General features: G+C 46.6%; 1 protein-coding gene across 4 annotated transcripts in view, besides 3 other annotated features; it reads right to left on the bottom strand.

Moving 5' to 3' along the window:
- Positions 1-2,332, bottom strand: part of SNX3 (sorting nexin 3) — a 49,819-nt gene extending 47,487 nt beyond the window's left edge. For 3 of the 4 annotated variants that reach the window (NM_152827.4, NM_001300928.2, NM_003795.6), the window contains exon 1: positions 2,052-2,332. In NM_152827.4, coding sequence (NP_690040.1) covers positions 2,052-2,213 — 162 coding nt within the window. In that variant the 5' untranslated portion in view covers positions 2,214-2,332. The remainder of the gene's footprint in view (positions 1-2,051) is intronic. The other variant, NM_001300929.2, reaches the window with a different exon arrangement.
- Positions 1,910-2,019: a silencer, noted in NCBI's record as "silent region_17448". NCBI's record gives its function as "represses an Ori minimal core promoter by ATAC-STARR-seq in GM12878 lymphoblastoid cells {active_cell/tissue: GM12878}" and the evidence as "EXISTENCE:reporter gene assay evidence [ECO:0000049][PMID:35858748]".
- Positions 2,130-2,389: a silencer, noted in NCBI's record as "silent region_17449". NCBI's record gives its function as "represses an Ori minimal core promoter by ATAC-STARR-seq in GM12878 lymphoblastoid cells {active_cell/tissue: GM12878}" and the evidence as "EXISTENCE:reporter gene assay evidence [ECO:0000049][PMID:35858748]".
- Positions 2,517-3,352: an enhancer, noted in NCBI's record as "H3K27ac hESC enhancer chr6:108582429-108583264 (GRCh37/hg19 assembly coordinates)". NCBI's record gives its function as "activates a minimal SCP1, AML or CMV promoter by ChIP-STARR-seq in naive H9 embryonic stem cells {active_cell/tissue: H9 hESC(naive)}" and the evidence as "EXISTENCE:reporter gene assay evidence [ECO:0000049][PMID:30033119]".

Genomic DNA, 19,676 nt, shown 5'->3' on the forward strand with positions numbered 1-19,676 from the left:
GTGTTGCCCAGGCTGGTCTCAAACTTCTGAGCTCAAGGGATCCACCTGCCTCAGCCTCCCAAAGTGCTGGGACTAGAGGCATGAGCCACTGCGCCAGGCCCAGAAACCATTTTTAAGTGTCACATCAGCTATTTGCTAAGGTATTAGGTGTATTAAAAAAAAAAGAGGATTAAATTATTATACTAGAACCCATTTAATATAATGCATTCAGCAAGATAAACTCAAAGTAAGTGGAGGAAGTGTAGGCAGGAGATTCCAATTCAGTTTTGTGACAGGAAGTACCTGCTATGGAAGTATAGAAACAAGAATACCAAGTTCTGTTTTAGCACAAGAAAGAAAAAAAAAGAAAATACTAGTGAATAGGGCAAAAGAGGAAGTTCTTTTTAGTGAACCATCTGTCATGTATTACAGACAATTAGAAAAACATTCACTTTTCCACTAGGTTTATGTATGAATGTAGTTCCCCAGGTGTACTGAAGTCTGGATTTTGCAGTTTCCCTATGACAACATATCCTATGATTCAATTTTTATTTATTTATTTAGAGAAGGGATTTTGCTCTTGTTGCCCAGGCTGGAGTGCAATGGCCCGATCTAGGCTCACGGCAACCTCTGCCTCCCCAGTTCAAGAGATTCTCCGGCCTCAGCCTCCCGAGTAGCTGGGATTACAGGCATGCGCCACCACACCCGGCTAATTTTGTATTTCTAGTAGAGATGGGGTTTCTCCATGCTGGTCAGGCTGGTGTCGAACTCCTGACCTCGGTGATCCGCCCAGCTCGGCCTCCCAAAGTGCTGGGATTACAGGCATGAGCCACCGCGCCCGGCCTATGATCCACATTTTACACATCCATAAGAAGACAACAGTGGCTTGAAACATTAAACTATTCGTTTCATATCTTAAAGTTTGATTAACTTTTTAAAATCAATGCTAACTACGTAAGAATCATTTTTTAAAAATACTTAAGTTTCACAACAATGTGAATATACTACTGAGCTGTATGTACACTTAAAAATGGTTAGGATGGTAAATTTGATTTTTGTGTTTTTCACGACACAAAGTGTGTAAGTTAATGAGAATTTTTTCACTTAAATGTTAATAGTAGCTTGTCATATAAATTTTGATTAAAGGAAAAATCGCTTTACACTTAACTTTTAATAATTTGCTGTCATCTTTAAATTAATGTAATTAATTTTTAAAGATGCTTCCATACATGGGCAAATTCTTTAATCCTGAATTATAGAGTGAAAGTGAAGCACTATTTTCAATTAACATCTTTCAAATCATCTAAATTATTGCCAACAAATACTAGTTATGAAATTAGGTATATTTTATTTCTGTTGATTTCTTTATTCAATTAAGTGCAAATCTCGAATTAAGAGAGCAAGATCCCTAGTCTTTTCTTAAAGCAACTGTAGTTCTGGATTATGAGGTAGGTGACACCACACCTCAGCCTTTGGCAGGGCGGTGGCCCAAAATGCTGAAGTCAACCATGTCCAATCACCCTTCTGGTCTGGCTCAGCCCTATCAAAAATTGTCAGGCTTCTGTGAACTTTCATTAAGTCCCGTTCAGAAGACTGCACAACCCAGGTTACTTTAGCAGCTCGGGAAGGGCCTGGAGCAGCCGGGTTGGCTTGCTACCTCTGGGAAGTCTCCAGGAAGAGAAAACTGGGAAAAGGCTTTAACTTTGCGCAAGCCCCTTTTCTCTGTCAACATCTCTTTCCCTTCCCAGCGAAGGGATGTGTTCTCGAAAGATCTACCCCTTTCCAACTCAAATGTCATTCCCTGATCAGCTGCTGGAGGGGCAAGCGGCGCTCAACCCACGCCCTCCTCTTCGAGCACCTTCTCCAAGTGCCAGCGCGCCGGGCTCGCTCTGCAGCCCCCCACACCAGCCCTACAGGAAGAGGGGCCCTGGCTCACGACCCCGGCCCGCCTCTGCAAGGGGGCTCCCGGCCTGGGAGGCTGTGGCTGCCCGCGGGGGTCCACTCCCGGGTCGAGTGGGGGTGACCAGAGCCAGCGGGAGGGGTTTCTTGGGAGAGGGGAGAGACGGCCTCACCTTGACCCTGATTTCGTAAGTGGTGAAGCGGCCCCGGCCGACCCCCACCGTTTGCGGGTTGCTCACATCGATCTCGAGGAAGTTGCTGGGGGGTCCGTAGGCGTCATTCAGGTTCTGCGGCTTGGTGATCAGCCGCCGGGTGTCAGCCACGGTCTCCGCCATTTCGCTGTAGCTGCTGCCGCCGCCGCGGGCTCCCTCCGCCCCCTCCGCGTTCAGCCGCCGCCGCCGCCGCTGCTGCCCGCCGTGGGGACACGGGGCTCGCGCGCAGCGGTCGCGAAGAGAACGAGCACGTAGAGCGGGCGTTCACCCCGCACGCGAAGCTCCTCCCCGCGCCCCTCAAGCTTCCGCCTCCGAGCCCAGGGGAGAAACGGCTCACTAGCTGGAACGCCACGCCCGGCTCCCGGGAGGCCCGGCCGAGGCTGGGGAGGGGCACTGCGGACTGGGGTGTGAGGAGAAGCGGTGTCATGGGACTCGGGGTCGCAAACAGGTTCCGGCCGGACTACAGCGCCCACAATGCACCGCGAGCGCGCCGCCGCGGGGCTGCGGCCGAGGAGGCGAGGACCCAGACGCCCAGAGCTGGCGCTTCCTGTCTCTCTGCGCCAGCCTCGGCCTGCGGCGGGGTAGAGCGCCGGAAACGGCTTTAGCGGCTTTGGGAATTGCGGGCGAAAGTTAAACGGAGAGATCTTAGAGATTTGCCCGCAAATCGAAACAAAACTGCCCCTACTAACTCTGTGCCAACCTGTGCACCGTCTCACTGTGAACCCCTGAAAATGCCTTTCTGGAGAAGGTTAAGCAAATGCCTGAGATGATTTTGCCATAAACCCGAGCGTTGCACCAGACACGCGTCTGGATTGATAGGTTGAAACCAGTAAAGTGGGGGAGTGAAATAAAAACTAAAGCCCTAGTTAAATCCTAGCATTATGGTCAAATCGATTTTGGAGACAGGTCGGTCCGCTAAAACAAAGTAACAGTAGACCGGCTGCAAGCTGCTTTGGGTGTCCACTTTCGTTTCTCACGAAGTCCTGATAAGTTTTTTTTTTTTTTGAAAAGTATTAAACGTACCTCTACAGGACTGGAAATGCAACTCACATGAGCCTTTTTAAGAAACGGGGAGGAAGGCCGGGCACGGTGGCTTATGCCTGTAATCCCAGCACTTTGGGAGGCCGAGGCGGGCGGATCACGAGGTCAGGAGTTCGATACTAGCCTTGCCCACATGGTGAAACCCCATCTCTACTTAAAAATGCAAAATTAGCTGGGCGTGGTGGTGCGCGCCTGTAATCCCAGCTACTCTGGAGGCTGAGGCAGGAGAATCGCTTGAACCCGGGAGGCAGAGGTTGCAGTGAGCTGAGATCTGCCATTGCACTCCAGCCTGGGTAATAGAGTGAGACTTTGTCTCAAAAAAAAGAAAGAAAGAAACGGGGAGAAAACCCAATTAATTAGGTCCTAGTTCATCTCTTATGGTCCAATGGGAAATGCAGATTTTAAATGTTGAGATACGATACATTTCTATCTCTGCCCAGAGAGTTATCCCTCACAACTATTTCTGCATTTTTTAATATGTCAAGTTTAACACTATAATTACTTTAAATAACCTGATCTTCCCCGCCCCCCTTTTCTTTAGATTTTAAATTATTAGTAATTATTTGTGGAGACGGGATCTCACTGTGATTCCCAGGCTGGTCTCCAACTCCCAGCATCAAAGTGATCCTCCCGCCGTGGCCTCCCATATGTGCTGAGATGACAGGTATGAACCACCGTGCTTGGACTGATCTGTCCCTTGAACTGCAAATTTCTTTTCTTTCTTGCTTTTTTTTTTTTTTTTTTTTTTTTTTTTTTTTTGAGACGGAGTCTCGCTGTGTCGTTCAGGCTGGAGTGCAGTGGCGCATCTTGTCTTACTGCAATCTCCACCTTTCGGATTCAAGCGATTCTCCTGCCTCAGCCTCCCGAGTAGCTGGGATTACAGGCGTGCGCCATGACACCCAGCTAATTTTTGTGTATTTTCAGTAGAAACGGGGTTTTGCCTTATTGGCCGGGCTGGTCTCGAACTCCTAACCTCAGCTGATCCGCTCGCCTCAGCCTCCCAAAGTGCTGGGAGTACAGAAGTGAGCCACCGTGCCCGGCCAACAGCAACCATTCTTAATAACACTAAGAAACACTGGAATAAAAAGAAATTACTTGGCCGGGTGCGGTGGCTTGCGCCTGTAATCCCAGTACTCTGGGAGGCCGAGGCGGGCGGATCACCTCAGGTTGGGAGTTTGAGACCAGCCTGACCAACATGGAGAAACCCCGTCTGTACTAAAAATACAAAATTAGCCGAGCGTGATGGCGCATGCCTGTAATCCCAGCTACTCGGGAGGCTGAGGCAGGAGAATTGCTTGAACCTGGGAGGCGGAGATTGTGGTGAGCCGAGATCGTGCCATTGCACTCCAGCCTGGGCAACAAGAGCAAAACTCCATCTCAAAAAAAAAAAAAAAAAAAAAGGCATTACTTAAATACAATGTATATTATTTTCCAGAAAACAACATTCATTTATTAATTCAACAAATATTTGTTGAAGACCTACTAGATGTTTTCATTCTAAGTACTAGAAATGAAAGGGTAGATAAGTCAGGTTTATAGCCTAGTATATAGTCTGTCTTAGGGAGACAATTCAGTAAATAATACACCTGCCAATATAATTGGTGCTATGAGGCAAATAAAACTGAATAATGTGACAGATAGTGACAGACAAGCTCATTAGATATTAATGCTGGGCATGTCTCCTAATGCAACAGACCAAATGGGAATTTGACTGGTATGATTAGAAATGTAAGCTCAATAAATACATATCAATGACTCTGAATTGAAGTCTATGCAAGCTAAGAGACCAGGAACTACTGTATTATGTTGTCATCGGTGACACCTGAACAAAGCAATCATGGAATATTCTCATAGAATGCTTCTGTCTGATTCCTTGGCGACCACTCAGGGCAGCAGTGGGCAGCCAGAACAAATGCCTGCAGTGGGGAAGCGGCTAGGAGGGACAGCAGCACAGCATCATAGCACAGTTGTATAGCCAAAGAAGACCTTCTTGGTGTAAATATCAGGAAAAAAAATTATCCTTATTTTTCAGGAATTGTGATTGCATTTCTAGAATACAAATCCAGAAATAATAAGCTACTAGAATTAACAAGAGAATGTAGTGGCAAGACAGAAATAAAGAATGTAATAGCTTTCCTTTGTCTATGCAATATCTAGTTAGAATGGAAATGGAAGAAAATACCCTGTTTGCAAGTGACCAGAAGTACAAAATATCTAGGAAGGAAGGGATAGGAACTATAAGGAGCAAAGGGAACATAGGACTAAAACTATGAAATTGTATTCAAAGATGTAAGACAAAACCTAAAGAGAAAAGAGTCTATGTTCCTGGATGGGAGGACTTAATATCAGAAAAAGTCACTATCTAAAATTAATAACTTAATACAATTAGAATCTCAATGTGGTTAGTTTTACTCACCCACTCCCACCTTGGATGAGTGGGTGGCACTGAGTCAAGTTTTTTTTTTTTTTTTTTTTTGAGACAGAGTCTCACTCTGTCACCCAGGCTGGAGTGCAGTGGCACAATCTCGGCTCACTGCAACCTCTGCCTCCAGGGTTCAAGCTATTCTCCTGCCTCAGCCTCCCAAGTAGCTGGGACTACTGGCGCCTGCCACCACGCCCGGCTAATTTTTGTGTTTTTAGTAGAGACGGGGTTTCACCATGTTGGCCGGGCTGGTCTCGAATTCCTGACCTTGTGATCCGCCCACCTAGGCCCCCCCAAAGTGCTGGGATTACAGGGGTGAGCCACCGCACCTGGCCCAAAGGTTTTATCATTCAGAAATGGCAAAACTAGGCTGGGCGCGGGTGCACGCCTGTAATCCCAACACTTTGGGAGGCCGAGATGGGCGGATCATCTGAGGTCAGAAGTTTGAGACAATCCTGGCCAACATGGTGAAACCCCGTCTCTACTAAAAATACAAAAAAATAGCTGGGCGTGGTGCCGGGCGCCTGTAATCCCAGCTACTCGGGAGGCTGAGGCAGGAGAATGGCTTGAACCTGGGAGGCAGAGGTTGCAGCTGAGCCGAGATTGCGCCACTGCACTCCAGCCTGGGTGACAAGAGCGAGATTCTGTCTCAAAAAAAAAAAAAAAAAAGGCAAAACTAGCTCCAGAGTTTATATACTTACCAATATTTTACGCTGCCTCTTAGGCAGAAAATTCAGATGGACAATAAGCATAAAAAAGAAATGAAATTACTATCAGCTGACTGTTTAGTGCGCTCAGAATAAAGACGAATTGATAATCTTAATGGCCAGAGCCTTCAAATTGTGATAATTAATACTCTACTCAAATGACACACCTCTCAGGGCACCCACAGCAATACCAGTATACAGACAATGTATTTTTCTAGAATTAGGCCACTTTAGGAAAACATAAAATTGATGATAGTTTTCTAACATTTTAGCTTATCCTTAGAATATGTTCATGTCTTCTCCTCCTACCTCCACTTCAACTGCCACTATACTCAAACTCACTAATCATATAAATGCACATTAAACATGAAATACTTTTTTCTGTCTATCAAAATGGCAAAAATCCAAATGAACAGAAACACACAGTAGGAAAGTAGGAAAACAGGCATTCATATTTCAATGACATGAGTATGAATTTTTACATCTTTTTGGAAAAGTAATTTGATAATATTTATCAAAAGTAAGACTATTAGAGTAGTTTCACCTGCAAATCTTAACTTTTGCTGCAAGAGACCATGGTACATAAGGTTGTAAGGGCAAGGATGTTTATTGCATCTTTGTTTGTAGTGGCAAAAACTGGAAACAGCTCCAAGGCTTATCAATTTTTTAAAAAGCTTGAATTAGGCTGGGCAATGGCTCATACCTGTAATCCCAGCACTTTCGGAGGCCAGGTCAGGCAGATCAGTTGTCAAGACCAACATAGGGAGACCCCATCTCTACAAAAAATTTAAAAATTGCAGGGCATGCTGGTGTGTGCCTATAGTCCCAACTACTTGGGAAGCTGAGGTGAGAGGATTGCTTGAGCCCAAGAGGTTGAGGCTGCAGTGAACTATGATCATGCCACTCTACTCCAGCCTAGGTAACAGACAAGGACCTTGTCTCAAGAAAGAAAAAAAGAAAAAAAAAAAAAAAGAAAATGCTTGAATTATAGTATGTTTAAAGTGTGGGAAATTGTATAATGATTAGAGTAAATGAACTAGTTATATTTTCATTTATTAGAATACTCTATTATTTAGTTATTAGAATTAGAGGAGGACTATCCATGATGTATTGGTGAAAGCACAGAATCCTAGCCACTAGACTACCAGAGACCATGATATTGGTAAGTGAGGATCACAAAATAATCTGTCTGCTATAGTCCATTTGGGTAAACAAATAAAACCGTATCAGTAGGCTAGCCACAGTGGCTCATGCCTGTAATCCCAGCACTTTAGGAGGCTGAGGCAGGTGGATCATTTGAGGTCAGGAGTTCGGGACCAGCCTGGCCAACATGGTGAAACCCAGTCTCCACTAAAAATACAAAAAAATTAGCTGGGCATCGTGGCGCATGCCTGTAATCCCAGCTGCTAGGGATGCTGAGGCAAGAGAATTGCTGAACCCAGGAGACAGAGGTTGCAGTGAGCCGAGATCACGCCACTGCACTCCAGCCTGAGTGACAGAGTGAGACTCTGTCTCAAAACAAACAAAAAAACCCACCCTATCAGTGACTATATGTACATTTATATTTGTATATGTTTATATGTGCATGGGGAGAAGGAAGTATAGAAGGATATACGCCAGGGTGTTAGTGCTGGTAGCTTAAGAGGGTGGCAATTAAAGTGGAGGTAGGAGGAGAAGACATGAACATATTCTAAGGATGAGGTAAAATGTCAGAAAACTATCATCAATTTTATGTTTTCCTTAATGGCCTAATTCTAAAAAAAATAAGTTGTCTGTGTACTGGTATTGCTGTGGGCAACCTGAGAGGTGTGTCCCTTGAGTAGAATATTAATTATCACAGATTGAAGGCTCTGGCCATTAAGATTATCCATTCCTTAGCTGGGCATGGTGGCACATGCCTGTAATCCCAGCTACTTGGGAGGCTGAGGCAGGAGAATCACTTGAACCCACGAGGTGGAGGTTGCAGTAAGCTGAGATCGCGCCATTGCACTCCAGCCTGAGCAACAAGAGCAAAACTCCGTCTCAAAAAAAAAAAAAAAAAAATTATCCACTCCTGGCTGAGCATGGTGGCTCATGCCTGTAATCCCAGCACTTTGGGAGGCCAGGGTGGGCAGATAACTTGAGATCAGGAGTTCGAGACCAGCCTGGTCAACATGGGAAAACTCTGTCTCTACTAAAAGTACAAAAATTAGCTGGGCACAGTGGCATTCACCTGTAATCCCAGCTACTCGGGAGGCTGAGGCAGGAGAATTGCTTGAACCTGGGAGGTGGACATTGCAGTGAGCCGAGATCATGCCACTGTACTCCAACTTGGGTGACACAGTGACACTCCACCTCAAAAAATAATAATAATTAATTGGTATTCTGTTTAATCAACCAGTCCCTTGTGAACTTGATTAATGTGTCACTTCCTCAAAACCTGATTACTTCTAAAGGAAAAGGATAAAACCAAGTCACTGAACCTCTGAAGTGTCAGACTCTGGAATTATGGCTATCAATGAAAAGAGTCAAACTGTGTGAAATATTTGAAGAGATTTATTCTGAGCCAAATATGAGTGACCAATAGCCCATGATACAGGCCTCAGGAGGTCCTGCGAACATGACCCCAGTGTGGTTGGGGTACAGCTTGGTTTTATACATTTTAGGGAGACATGAGACATCAATTAATACATGTAAGATATACATTAGTTTGGGCCAGAAAGGCGGGACAGCTGGAAGCCAGGGCTTCCAAACCATTAGGCAGATTCAAAGGTTTTCTGATTGGCAATTGGTTGAAAGAGTTATCAATAAAAAAGAATGTCTGGGTTGTGATAAGGGGTTATGAAGAAATAAAAGTTTTATTTTGCAGATAAAGCCTCCAGGTGGAGGGCTTTAGAGAGAATAGATTGTAAATATTTCTTTTTTTTTTTTGAGACGGAGTCTCGCTCTGTTGCTCAGGCTGGAGTGCAGTGGCGCGATCTCAGCTCACTGCAAGCTCCACCTCCCAGGTTCACGCCATTCTCCTATCTTAGCCTCCCGAGTAGCTGGGACTATGGGCGCCTGCCACCACGCCTGGCTAATTTTTTGTATTCTTTAGTAGACATGGGGTTTCACCGTGTTAGCCATGATGGTCTCAATCTCCTGACCTCGTGATCTGCCCGCCTCAGCCTCCCAAAGTGCTGGGATTACAGGTGTGAGCCACCGTGCCCGGCCGTAAATGTTTCTTATCAGATCTGAAGAATCTGTTCTATCAGTAATTCCAAAAGGGAGGAGGGTATAATGAGGCATGTCTGACTCTCCCTGTCATGGCCTGCACTAGTTTTTCAGGTTAACTTTGGAATACCTTTGGTTCAGAGGAGGGGTCCATTCAGATGCTTGAGGGAACTTAGAATTTTATTTTTGGTTTACATGGCAAACCTAATGAGACCTGTCAACTTCTCAAGTGCCAGCTGGGTTTCTTTTACATCATTTTTCCTATGTGGAGCATTTCAATTCTCACACCCTGACTTACTCCCCAAACTCCTGCTCCCAGGCTGCTGAGCATTCCTGAAGGAAATCTCAGACCTCCTGGCACCCTTGCAAATTTATGGTTTCCAACTTCAGTTGATCCTTAGACACATCTCAGAAATCCCATTTAATTCTTGTTTTTTTTTTTTTTTTTTTTTTTTAGATGCAGTTTTGCTTTTGTTGCCAGGGTGGAGCACAATGGCGCAATCTTGGCCCACTGCAACCTCCACCTCTGGGTTCAAGCAATTCTCCTGCCTCAGCCTCCTGAGTAGCTGGGATTACAGGTGCCTGCCAACATGCCAGCTAATTTTTGTATTTTTGTTAGTAGAGGTGGGGTTTCACCATGTTGGCCAGGCTGGTCTCAAACTCCTGACCTCAGGTGATCCACCTGCCTCGGCCTCCCAAAGTGCTGGGATGACAGATGTGAGCCACCATGCCTGGCCTCCCCTGTTTAATTCTCTTCTCACATTTTGCACTCCTCTTCCTTACTCTCAGCAGATAACCTTACTTCTTCCAGCACAAAGAAAAGTAAAAGCCATGAAGCTCAGTATCTCCCTCCTCACCACCACAAGACTATTTACAGTATGAGTCAATTTCAGAACTTCTGAGAGCATGAGGCAGACCCACACCACTTCCAGCTTTTGAGGATCTGGACATTTTCAACTTTGGTACTGAGGAAATTATTTAAGGGCATTGTGAGTTGTTTGTTAATTTTAAGTAAGTAAAGCATTTACATTATTTAAAAATCGCTCTCCCTCTCCCTCTCCCTCTCCCCTCTCCGCTCTTTCCACGGTCTCCCTCTGATGCCGAGCCGGAGCTGGACTGTACTGCTGCCATCTCGGCTCACTGCAACCTCCCTGCCTGATTCTCCTGCCTCAGCCTGCCGAGTCCCTGCGATTGCAGGCGCGCGCCACCACGCCTGACTGGTTTTCGTATTTTTTGGGTGGAGACGGGGTTTCGCTGTGTTGGCCGGGCTGGTCTCCAGCTCCTAACCGCGAGTGATCCGCCAGCCTCGGCCTCCCGAGGTGCCGGGATTGCAGACGGAGTCTCCTTCACTCAGTGCTCAATGGTGCCCAGGCTGGAGTGCAGTGGCGTGATCTCGGCTCGCTACAACATCCACCTCCCAGCAGCCTGCCTTGGCCTCCCAAAGTGCCGAGATTGCAGCCTCTGCCCGGCCGCCACCCCGTCTGGGAAGTGAGGAGCGTCTCTGCCTGGCCGCCCATCATCTGGGATGTGAGGAGCCCCTCTGCCTGGCTGCCCAGTCTGGAAAGTGAGGAGCGTCTCTGCCCGGCCGCCATCCCATCTAGGAAGTGAGGAGCGCCTCTTCCCGGCCGCCATCCCATCTAGGAAGTGAGGAGCGTCTCTGCCCGGCCGCCCCGTCTGAGAAGTGAGGAGACCCTCTGCCTGGCAACCGCCCTGTCTGAGAAGTGAGGAGCCCCTCCGCCCAGCAGCCGCCCCGTCTGAGAAGTGAGGAGCCCCTCCGCCCGGCAGCCACCCCGTCTGGGAAGTGAGGAGCGTCTCCGCCCGGCAGCCACCCCGTCCAGGAGGGAGGTGGGGGGGTCAGCCCCCCTCCCGGCCAGCCGCCCCGTCCGGGAGGGAGGTGGGGGGATCAGCCCCACGCCCGGCCAGCCGCCCCCTCTGGGAGGTGAGGGGCGCCTCTGCCCGGCCGCCCCTACTGGGAAGTGAGGAGCCCCTCTGCCTGGCCGGCCCCCCCGACCTGGAGGGAGGTGGGGGCGTTAGCCCCCCGCCCGGCCAGCCACCCCGTCCGGGAGGTGAGGGGCGCCTCTGCCCGGCCGCCCCTACTGGGAAGTGAGGAGCCCCTCTGCCCGGTCAGCCTCCCCGTCCGGGAGGGAGGTGGGGGGGTCAGCCCCCCGCCCGGCCAGCCGCACCATCCGGGAGGTGAGGGGCGCCTCTGCCCGGCCGCCCCTACTGGGAAGTGAGGAGCCCCTCTGCCCGGCCACCACCCCGTCTGGGAGGTGTACCCAACAGCTCATTGAGAACGGGCCATGATGACAATGGCGGTTTTGTGGAATAGAAAGGGGGGAAAGGTGGGGAAAAGATTGAGAAATCGGATGGTTGCCATGTCTGTGTAGAAAGAGGTAGACATGGGAGACTTTTCATTTTGTTCTGTACTAAGAAAAATTCTTCTGCCTTGGGATCCTGTTGATCTGTGAACTTACCCCCAACCCTGTGCTCTCTGAAACATGTGCTGTGTCCACTCAGGGTTAAATGGATTAAGGGCGGTGCAAGATGTGCTTTGTTAAACAGATGCTTGAAGGCAGCATGCTCGTTAAGAGTCATCACCACTCCCTAATCTCAAGTACCCAGGGACACAAACACTGCAGAAGGCCGCAGGGTCCTCTGCCTAGGAAAACCAGAGACCTTTGTTCACTTGTTTGTCTGCTGACCTTCCCTCCACTATTGTCCTGTGACCCTGCCAAATCCCCCTCTGCTAGAAACACCCAATAATGATCAATAAAAAAATAAATAAACAACAACAACAACAAAAAAGTCAAAAAATAACATGCTGGCAAGGCTGTGGAAAAAAGGGGATGCTTATACCCTTTTGGTGGGAGTGTTTAACCGTTGTGGAAAACAGTATGGTGATTCCTGAAAGAGCTAAAAATAGAAATACCATTCAACCCAGCAATCTCATTATTGGGTATACACCCAAAGGAATATAAATCATTCTACCATAAAGACCCATGCATGTGTATGTTCATTGCAGCACTATTCACAATAGAAAAGACATGGAAACAACCTAAATGCCCATCAATGACAGATTGGATAAAGAAAATGTGGTACGTATACACCATGAAATAGACTATGCAGCCATAAGAAAGAACGAGAGCATGTCTGTTGTGGGAACATAGATGGAGCTAGAGGCCATTATCCTTAGCAAACAAACACAGGAACAGAAAACCAAATATCACATGTTCTCACTTATACGTGGGAGCTGGCCAGGCACGGTGGTTCACGCCTGTAATCCCGGCACTTTGGGAGGCCAAGGTAGGCAGATCACCTGAAGTCAGGAGTTGGAGACTAGCCTGGCCAACATAGTGAAACTTCATCTCTACTGAAAATACAAAAATTAGCCCGGCCTGGTGGTGGGCGCCTGTAGTCCCAGCTACTCGGGAGGCTGAGGCAGAATTGCTTGAACCCAGGAGGCAGAGGTTGCAGTGAGCCGAGATCTTGCCGTTGCACTCCAGCCTGGGCGACAAGAGTGAAACTCCATGTCCAAAAAAAAAAAAAAAAAAGTGGGAGCTAAATGATGAGAACAAATGGACACAAAAAGAGGGACACCACCGGCCAGGCACGGTGGCTCACGCCTGTAATCCCAGCACTTTGGGAGGCCGAGGCGGGCAGATCACGAAGTCAGGAGATCGAGACCAGCCTGGCTAACATGGTAAAGCCCCGTCCCTACTAAAAAAATATAAAAAATTAGCTGGGCGTGGTGGCGGGCGCCTGTAGTCCCAGCTACTCGGGAGGCTGAGGCAGGAGAATGGCGTGAACCTGGGAGGCGGAGCTTGCAGTGAGCTGAGATCGCCACTGCACTCCAGCCTGGGCGACAGAGCGAGACTCTGTCTCAAAAAAAAAAAAAAAAGGTGGGGGGACAACACCCACTGGGGCCTCTCAGAAGGTGGAGGCTGGGAGGAGGGAGAGGATAAGAAAAAATAACGATTGGGTACTAGGCTTAGTTCCTGGGTAACAAAATAATCTGTACAATAAACCCCCATGATATGAGTTTACCTATATAACAAACCCTGAACCGAAAATAAAAGTTTTAAAAATAAAAAATAAAAAATAAAAAAAAAATCAAAATGTATTTAAGGGTATTCACTGAAAAATCTGTCGCCAATACCTATCTCCAGCCATCCTCCCTTTTCTATTGACAGCCACTGTTGGCAGTTTCTTATGTATCTCATATATATATATATGTATCTCATATATATATGTATCTCATATATATGTATCTCATATATATGTATCTCATATATATATGTATCTCATATATATATGTATCTCATATATATATGTATCTCATATATATATGTATCTCATATATGTATGTATCTCATATATATATGAGAAATAGTACAATAGGATACAAACACTTTTGCAGCTTACCTCACTTAATGTTATATGCCCAGGTAGTTACACATCTGTATCTGTACAAGAGCAAAGTATTCTATGATATGCTATAATTATTTAACTTCTCCTCTAGTGGCAAATACATGTTGATCCCAATCTTTTACTATTATAGTGCTATAATGAATAACCTTGAATATGCCAGTCATTATACACATGGGAGTATATCTGTAGCATAAATTGCTGTGAATAGAATTACTGAGGCAAAGGATATATGCATTTGTAATTTTGAGAGATATTGTAAAAATTTCCTTTCGTATAGATGAGAAAAAAATAGTTTAAAGCAGCCTGAGCTAGGAGAGCTATGCAAAATTTATCAGGCCCAGAGAAACTTTAAGCAATAAAGACCTTTTTTTATTTTTATTTTTTGAGACAGGGTATCACTCTGTCACCCAGGCTGGAGTGCAGTGGTGCAGTCATGGCTCACTGTAACCTCAACTTCAGCTTGGACTTGCTGGGCTCCTGCAATTCTCCCACCTCAGCCTCCCGAGTAGCTGGACCACAGGTGCACGCCACCACCCCCAGATAATTTGTGTATTTTTGGTAGAGTTAGGATTTCGCCTCATTGCCCCGGTTGGTCTCAAACTCCTGAGCTCAAGCTATCCACCCGCCTCAGCCTCCCAAAGTGCTGAGATTACAGACATGAGCCACCGCGCCTGACAAGACTTTTTTTTTTAATAGGCAAAAGGAGGTACTGCCTTGTGGGAGCAGATAGTTTACATTTCTTATTTTAAATTAGTAAATTGGAATTCTGTTTTAACAGCCAGTTCCTTGTAAACTTGAGCAGTGCGTCACTTCTTCAAAACCTGGTTGAGCATGGTGGCTCATGCCTGTCATCCCAGAACTTTGGGATCACTTGAGGTCAGGAGTTCAAGACCAGCCTGGCCAACATGGCAAAATCTCGTCTCTAATAAAAATACAAAAAAATTAGCTGGGCGTGGTGGCTCACGCCTGTAATCCCAGCACTTTGGGAGGCTGAGGCGGGCGGACCATGAGGAGATCAAGACCATCCTGGCTAACACGGTGAAACCCCGTCTCTACTAAAAATACAAAAAAAAAAAAAAATAGCCGGGCATAGTGCTGGGCGCCTGTAGTCCCAGCTACTCGGGAGGCTGAGGCAGGAGAATGGCGTGAACCCGGGAGGCAGAGCTTGCAGTGAGCTGAGATCGCGCCACTGCACTCCAGCCTGGGTGACAGAGCAAGTCTCCATCTCAAAAAAAAAAAAAAAAATTAGTGGGGCGTGGTGGTGCAGACCTGTAATCCCAGCTACTGGCGAGGCTGAGGCAGGAGAATCCCTTGAACCCAGGAGGTGGAGGTTGCAGTGAGTTGAGATTGTGCCACTGCATTCCAGCCTGGGCCACAGAGTGAGATTCTGTCTAAAAAAAAACAAACAATAACAATAAAAAACCTGATAAGTATGGGACTTGAATCATGACCCCTCACCCCCATGTCCAGGGCAATTACTTAAAGGCATTTTGTTCCTGACTCGCTGCCTCACTCATTATCTTCATGTTTCTGGAGTCTGTGATACAAAGAATAAAGTATAAGCAATCAATAGCTTTTGTTTACTTTTTATTTTTTAGAGATAGGGTCTAGCTCTATTGCCCAAGCTGGGGTGCAATGGTGCCATCATAGCTCCTTGAAGCTCGAACTCCTGGGCTCAAGCAATTCCCCTGCCTCAGCCTCCCACGTATCTGGGACCACAGGCACAGACCATCAGGCCCAGCTGCTTATGTTATTTTAATGTAAATTCTTGCAAAACAACTTAGGAACTGTGTCTTCTTTTTTCCTTTAAAAACCCACTTTGGCCAGGCGCAGTGGCTCATGCCTGTAATCCTAGCACTTTGGGAGGTCAAGGCGGGAGAATCACTTGAGCTAAGGAGTTTGAGACCAGCCTAGCTGGGCAACAAAGGGAGACCTCATCTCTATCTTAGAAAAAAAAAAAAAAATCCACTTGTGGCTGGGCACGGTGGCTCACACCTATAATCCTAGGAAGGGGCAGGAGGATTGCTTGAGTGCAGAGTTTGAGACTAGACTGGGCAACATAGTGAGACCTGCCTCTACAAAAATTTTCTTTAAAAATTAACCAGGCATGATGGTGTGCCCCTGTAGTCCCAGCTACTCCAGAGGGTGAAGTGAAAAAGGAGGATCACTTGAACTAAGATGTCGAGGCTGCAGTGAGGTGTGAAGGCACCATTGCACTCCAGCCTGGGCAACAGAGCAAGACCTGTCTCAAAAAAAAGAAAGAAAGAAAGAAAGAAAGGACCCACCCCACTTGCAACTGCTGCTAATAGGAGTGCATATTCAGGGCAACTTGAATCCATATTGCTGGGTGGCCATCCTCAAGCTTTGGGCTCAGTTAAACTCTACATTTAACATATTTCCTAAATCTCCTTATTGAAGGTTGACATAGGTTTTGCCAGTTTATACCCTGTTCAGCAATGTATGGAAGTGCTTGTTGGAATGTATGAAAAGGGTGTGTGTGTGGCAGGGGGTGGGGGGAGCGGTTATGAGAAGTACCAAATTAGTAGGGGGCTGGGCAGAAGTGTGGGTAGTCTGGACATCCTGTTTGCAACTGGCATCTGAAGTGGGGGCAGTCTTGTGGGACTGAGCATTAACCTGTGGGATGTGCACTAACTCTGGATAGTTAGTGTCAGAATTGAATTGAATTGTTGGATACCCAGTTGGTACCAGGAGAATCAGAAACTACACACATAACCTTGGAGATGATGTTAATGTTATTTGAAGTCCTTTGTGACGGGACCTATGTGACCTGCTCCTTTGTGATGGTCCTCCTGCAAACCCCTTACCAACCCCCATGAAGAGCCCTTCTCATCTTAGTGTGTTCTAGTAGCATATCAATCAGTCTCCCTGCTCTCAAAGGCTAACTACTTCCACAGTCATGGAGAGATCAGCACATGGATTGCTCTCTGGACAGTCTGAGTTTGATGTCTCTGGGAGGCTAATACTTTAGTTGAACACTGATTTCTTTGTATATTTGTTCAGTTTTATTTAGAGAAGAGGCTAAGTACTGCTGGGGCAAGAACAGGAAAGAGCCAGGCCCCTGCTTGCATGCCATCTCAGCAAAATAAGCCTGGTGGTAACTTTTAATTTTCATTTTTTTTAAATAGAGATGGGGTCTCGCTATATTGCCCAGGTTGGTCTTGAACTCCTGGCCTCAAGCAGTCCTTCCCCCTTGGCCTCCCAGACTGCTGAGATGACAGTCACGGGCCACTGTGCCAGGCCCCTCATGGTAACTTGACTTTCACTCTTGGTAGGTTAGGGAGGAGTGACCATCTGTTTTGTTTTAGGCATGCTCATTAAGGGGTCTCACTCCCCACTAGGCTTTACAAATTATCTCTTCCGAGGCACAAGTTTCTGTTCTGTTACATTTTTTGTGCCTTGCCTCTTGTATGTTGGTAAATCAGGCAGTGCTGGGTTGGTTGTATGAACCTCAGAACCACCTTTGTTAAATTCTTCTCCATCAATTATCATATTCTTATCTTCTCCTTACGTGTTGTGGCAGCCATGAGACTGCGTCTCTCAGACCTCCAACTGCAGAAAGCATAATTAACCTTTGGCCTCAGCTGCTGTACTCTGAAATTCATGACTACTGCATTTGCTCAGAGACTACACTTTCCATGGGCTGCTCCCAGCCAACAGCCAAGCACATCAGGGATACTAAGGCAGGCTCATTCCTTTGATAGATGATATTGGATACAATGTCTGAAAGAGTCAAAGGCAAGAATGGTATGCAACATGTGCAATTCTAGTCTCAAGTCAGGTGGTTAGCTTCTGAAAAAACATAGGCACAGAATTTTTGTTGAGATAGGGGAGCACCTGATATCATGCACAGTGTGTGATTTCAGCCATGTAAGGCCATGTTACATATTAGTGTAAACCTGGATCAGGGCAGAAATAAAAAGGTTCTCAGCCACAGGAATCCTGGAAACCAGGCATTTTCACTGCTTCTCTCAAGGAGATGAATTACCCACTTTCTGAGTAAAGAACCACCAATGTATCTAACTGGAGCAGTTTCTTCAACTGTTGTTGTTGTTTTTTTGTTTTGTTTTGTTTTTTTGTTTTTTTTTGAGACAGAGTCTTGCTGTGTCACCCGTGCTGAAGTGCAGTGGTACCATCAGAGCTCACTGCAGCCTTGAACTCGGACTCAAATGATCCTACAGCCTCAGCTTCCCCAGTAGCTAGGACTAGAGGTACGTGCTACCACCACACTTGGCTAATTAAAAAAATTTTTTTGGGCTGGGTGCCGTGGCTCATGCCTGTAATCCCAGCACTTTAGGAGGCCAAGGCGGGTGGATCACGAGGTCAAGAGATCAAGACCAATCTGGCCAACATGGTGAAACCCTGTCTCTACTAAAAATACAAAAATTAGCTGTGCATGGTGGTGCGTGCCTGTAGTCCCAGCTACTTGGGAGGCTGAGGCAGGAGAATCGCTTAAACCCAGGAGGTGGAGGTTGCAGTGAGCTGAGATCACGCCATTGTACTCCAGCCTAGTGACAGAGCGAGACTCCATCTCAAAAAAAAAAAAAAATTTTTTTGTAGAGACCAAATCTCACTTTTTTGCCCAGGTTGGTCTCAAACTCCTGGGCTCAAGTGATCCTCCCAACTTGGCCTCCCAGAGTCCTGGGATTACAGGAGTAAGCCACCTAGCCATACCAGAGCAATGTTTTTTCAAACATTAATATGCATACAGATCACCTGGACCTTGTAAAAATGCAGATTCTGATTCAGGAGTTCTAGGATGAGGCCTGAGATTTCGCATTTCTAGCAAGTTCCAGGTAATGCCAATGCTGCTGGACCCCAGCCCACACTGAGCAGCAGGGATGTAGAGAATCTCAAGAATGCCAGATGTATTTGATTAATTGATGGGATCTTGAGGAGGGTGCCATTCCAGAACTATTAGCATCATGTGATCTCTTTGGCTGAACAGATATGGCTTTCTTAGGATTCTCAGACTCTGGCTATTTGTGTGACTGAGCACCTACAAGAAACCAGGGACTGTGCTAGGTGCTAGGGTGGGTGTGGGGCATATGGAGAGGAGACAAAGTGGTAAACAAGATACAGTTTTTCCTTCCACGATCTTTTTTCTTTTAAGCTTTTTTAGAGACAGGGTCTCGCTCTGTTGCCCAGGCTGGAGTGCAGTGGCACGATCATGGCTCACTGAAGCCTCGACCTCCTGGGCACAAGCTAACCTCCCATCTCAGCATCCTGAGTAGCTAGGACTGCAGGTGAGTACCACCATGCCTGGATAATTTTTTAATTTTATTTTTTGTAGAGACAGGATCTCGCTATGTTTCCCAGACTGGTCTCCAACTTCTGGCCTGAAGCGATCCTCCTGCCTCACCCTCCCAAAGTTTTGTGATTACAGGCATGAGTCACCATGCCTGGCCACGATCTTTCAGTCTGGTCATAGGGGCATGAAAATGAACAAAGCCATGTCAGGAGAGTGTCATAACAGCCACATAGCCCAGTCTTGGGGGAAGAGTAATGGAGGAAGGATTCCAGAAGGAAGCAACAAGGAAACTGAGACATGAAGTTGGTGTTTGACAGGCAAATTGCATATGTTTTCGGTGTGCCTAAGTGTTTGAAGTATATTCCAGAGGTAGAGATAAACAGCTGAAGGGGTCCAGAGGAAATAAAGAGCATGGCACACTTAGGGAACTAGTATAGTTAAGGACTATTGGAATGAAAGGGAAAGAAGATCAGGACTCAGGCCAGAGAGACAAGGTCATGAAGGGCATTATAGTCCATGTTTATGGT

The sequence above is a fragment of the Homo sapiens genome, chromosome 6 (genome assembly GCF_000001405.40).
Source record: "Homo sapiens chromosome 6, GRCh38.p14 Primary Assembly".
Lineage (NCBI taxonomy): Eukaryota > Metazoa > Chordata > Mammalia > Primates > Hominidae > Homo > Homo sapiens.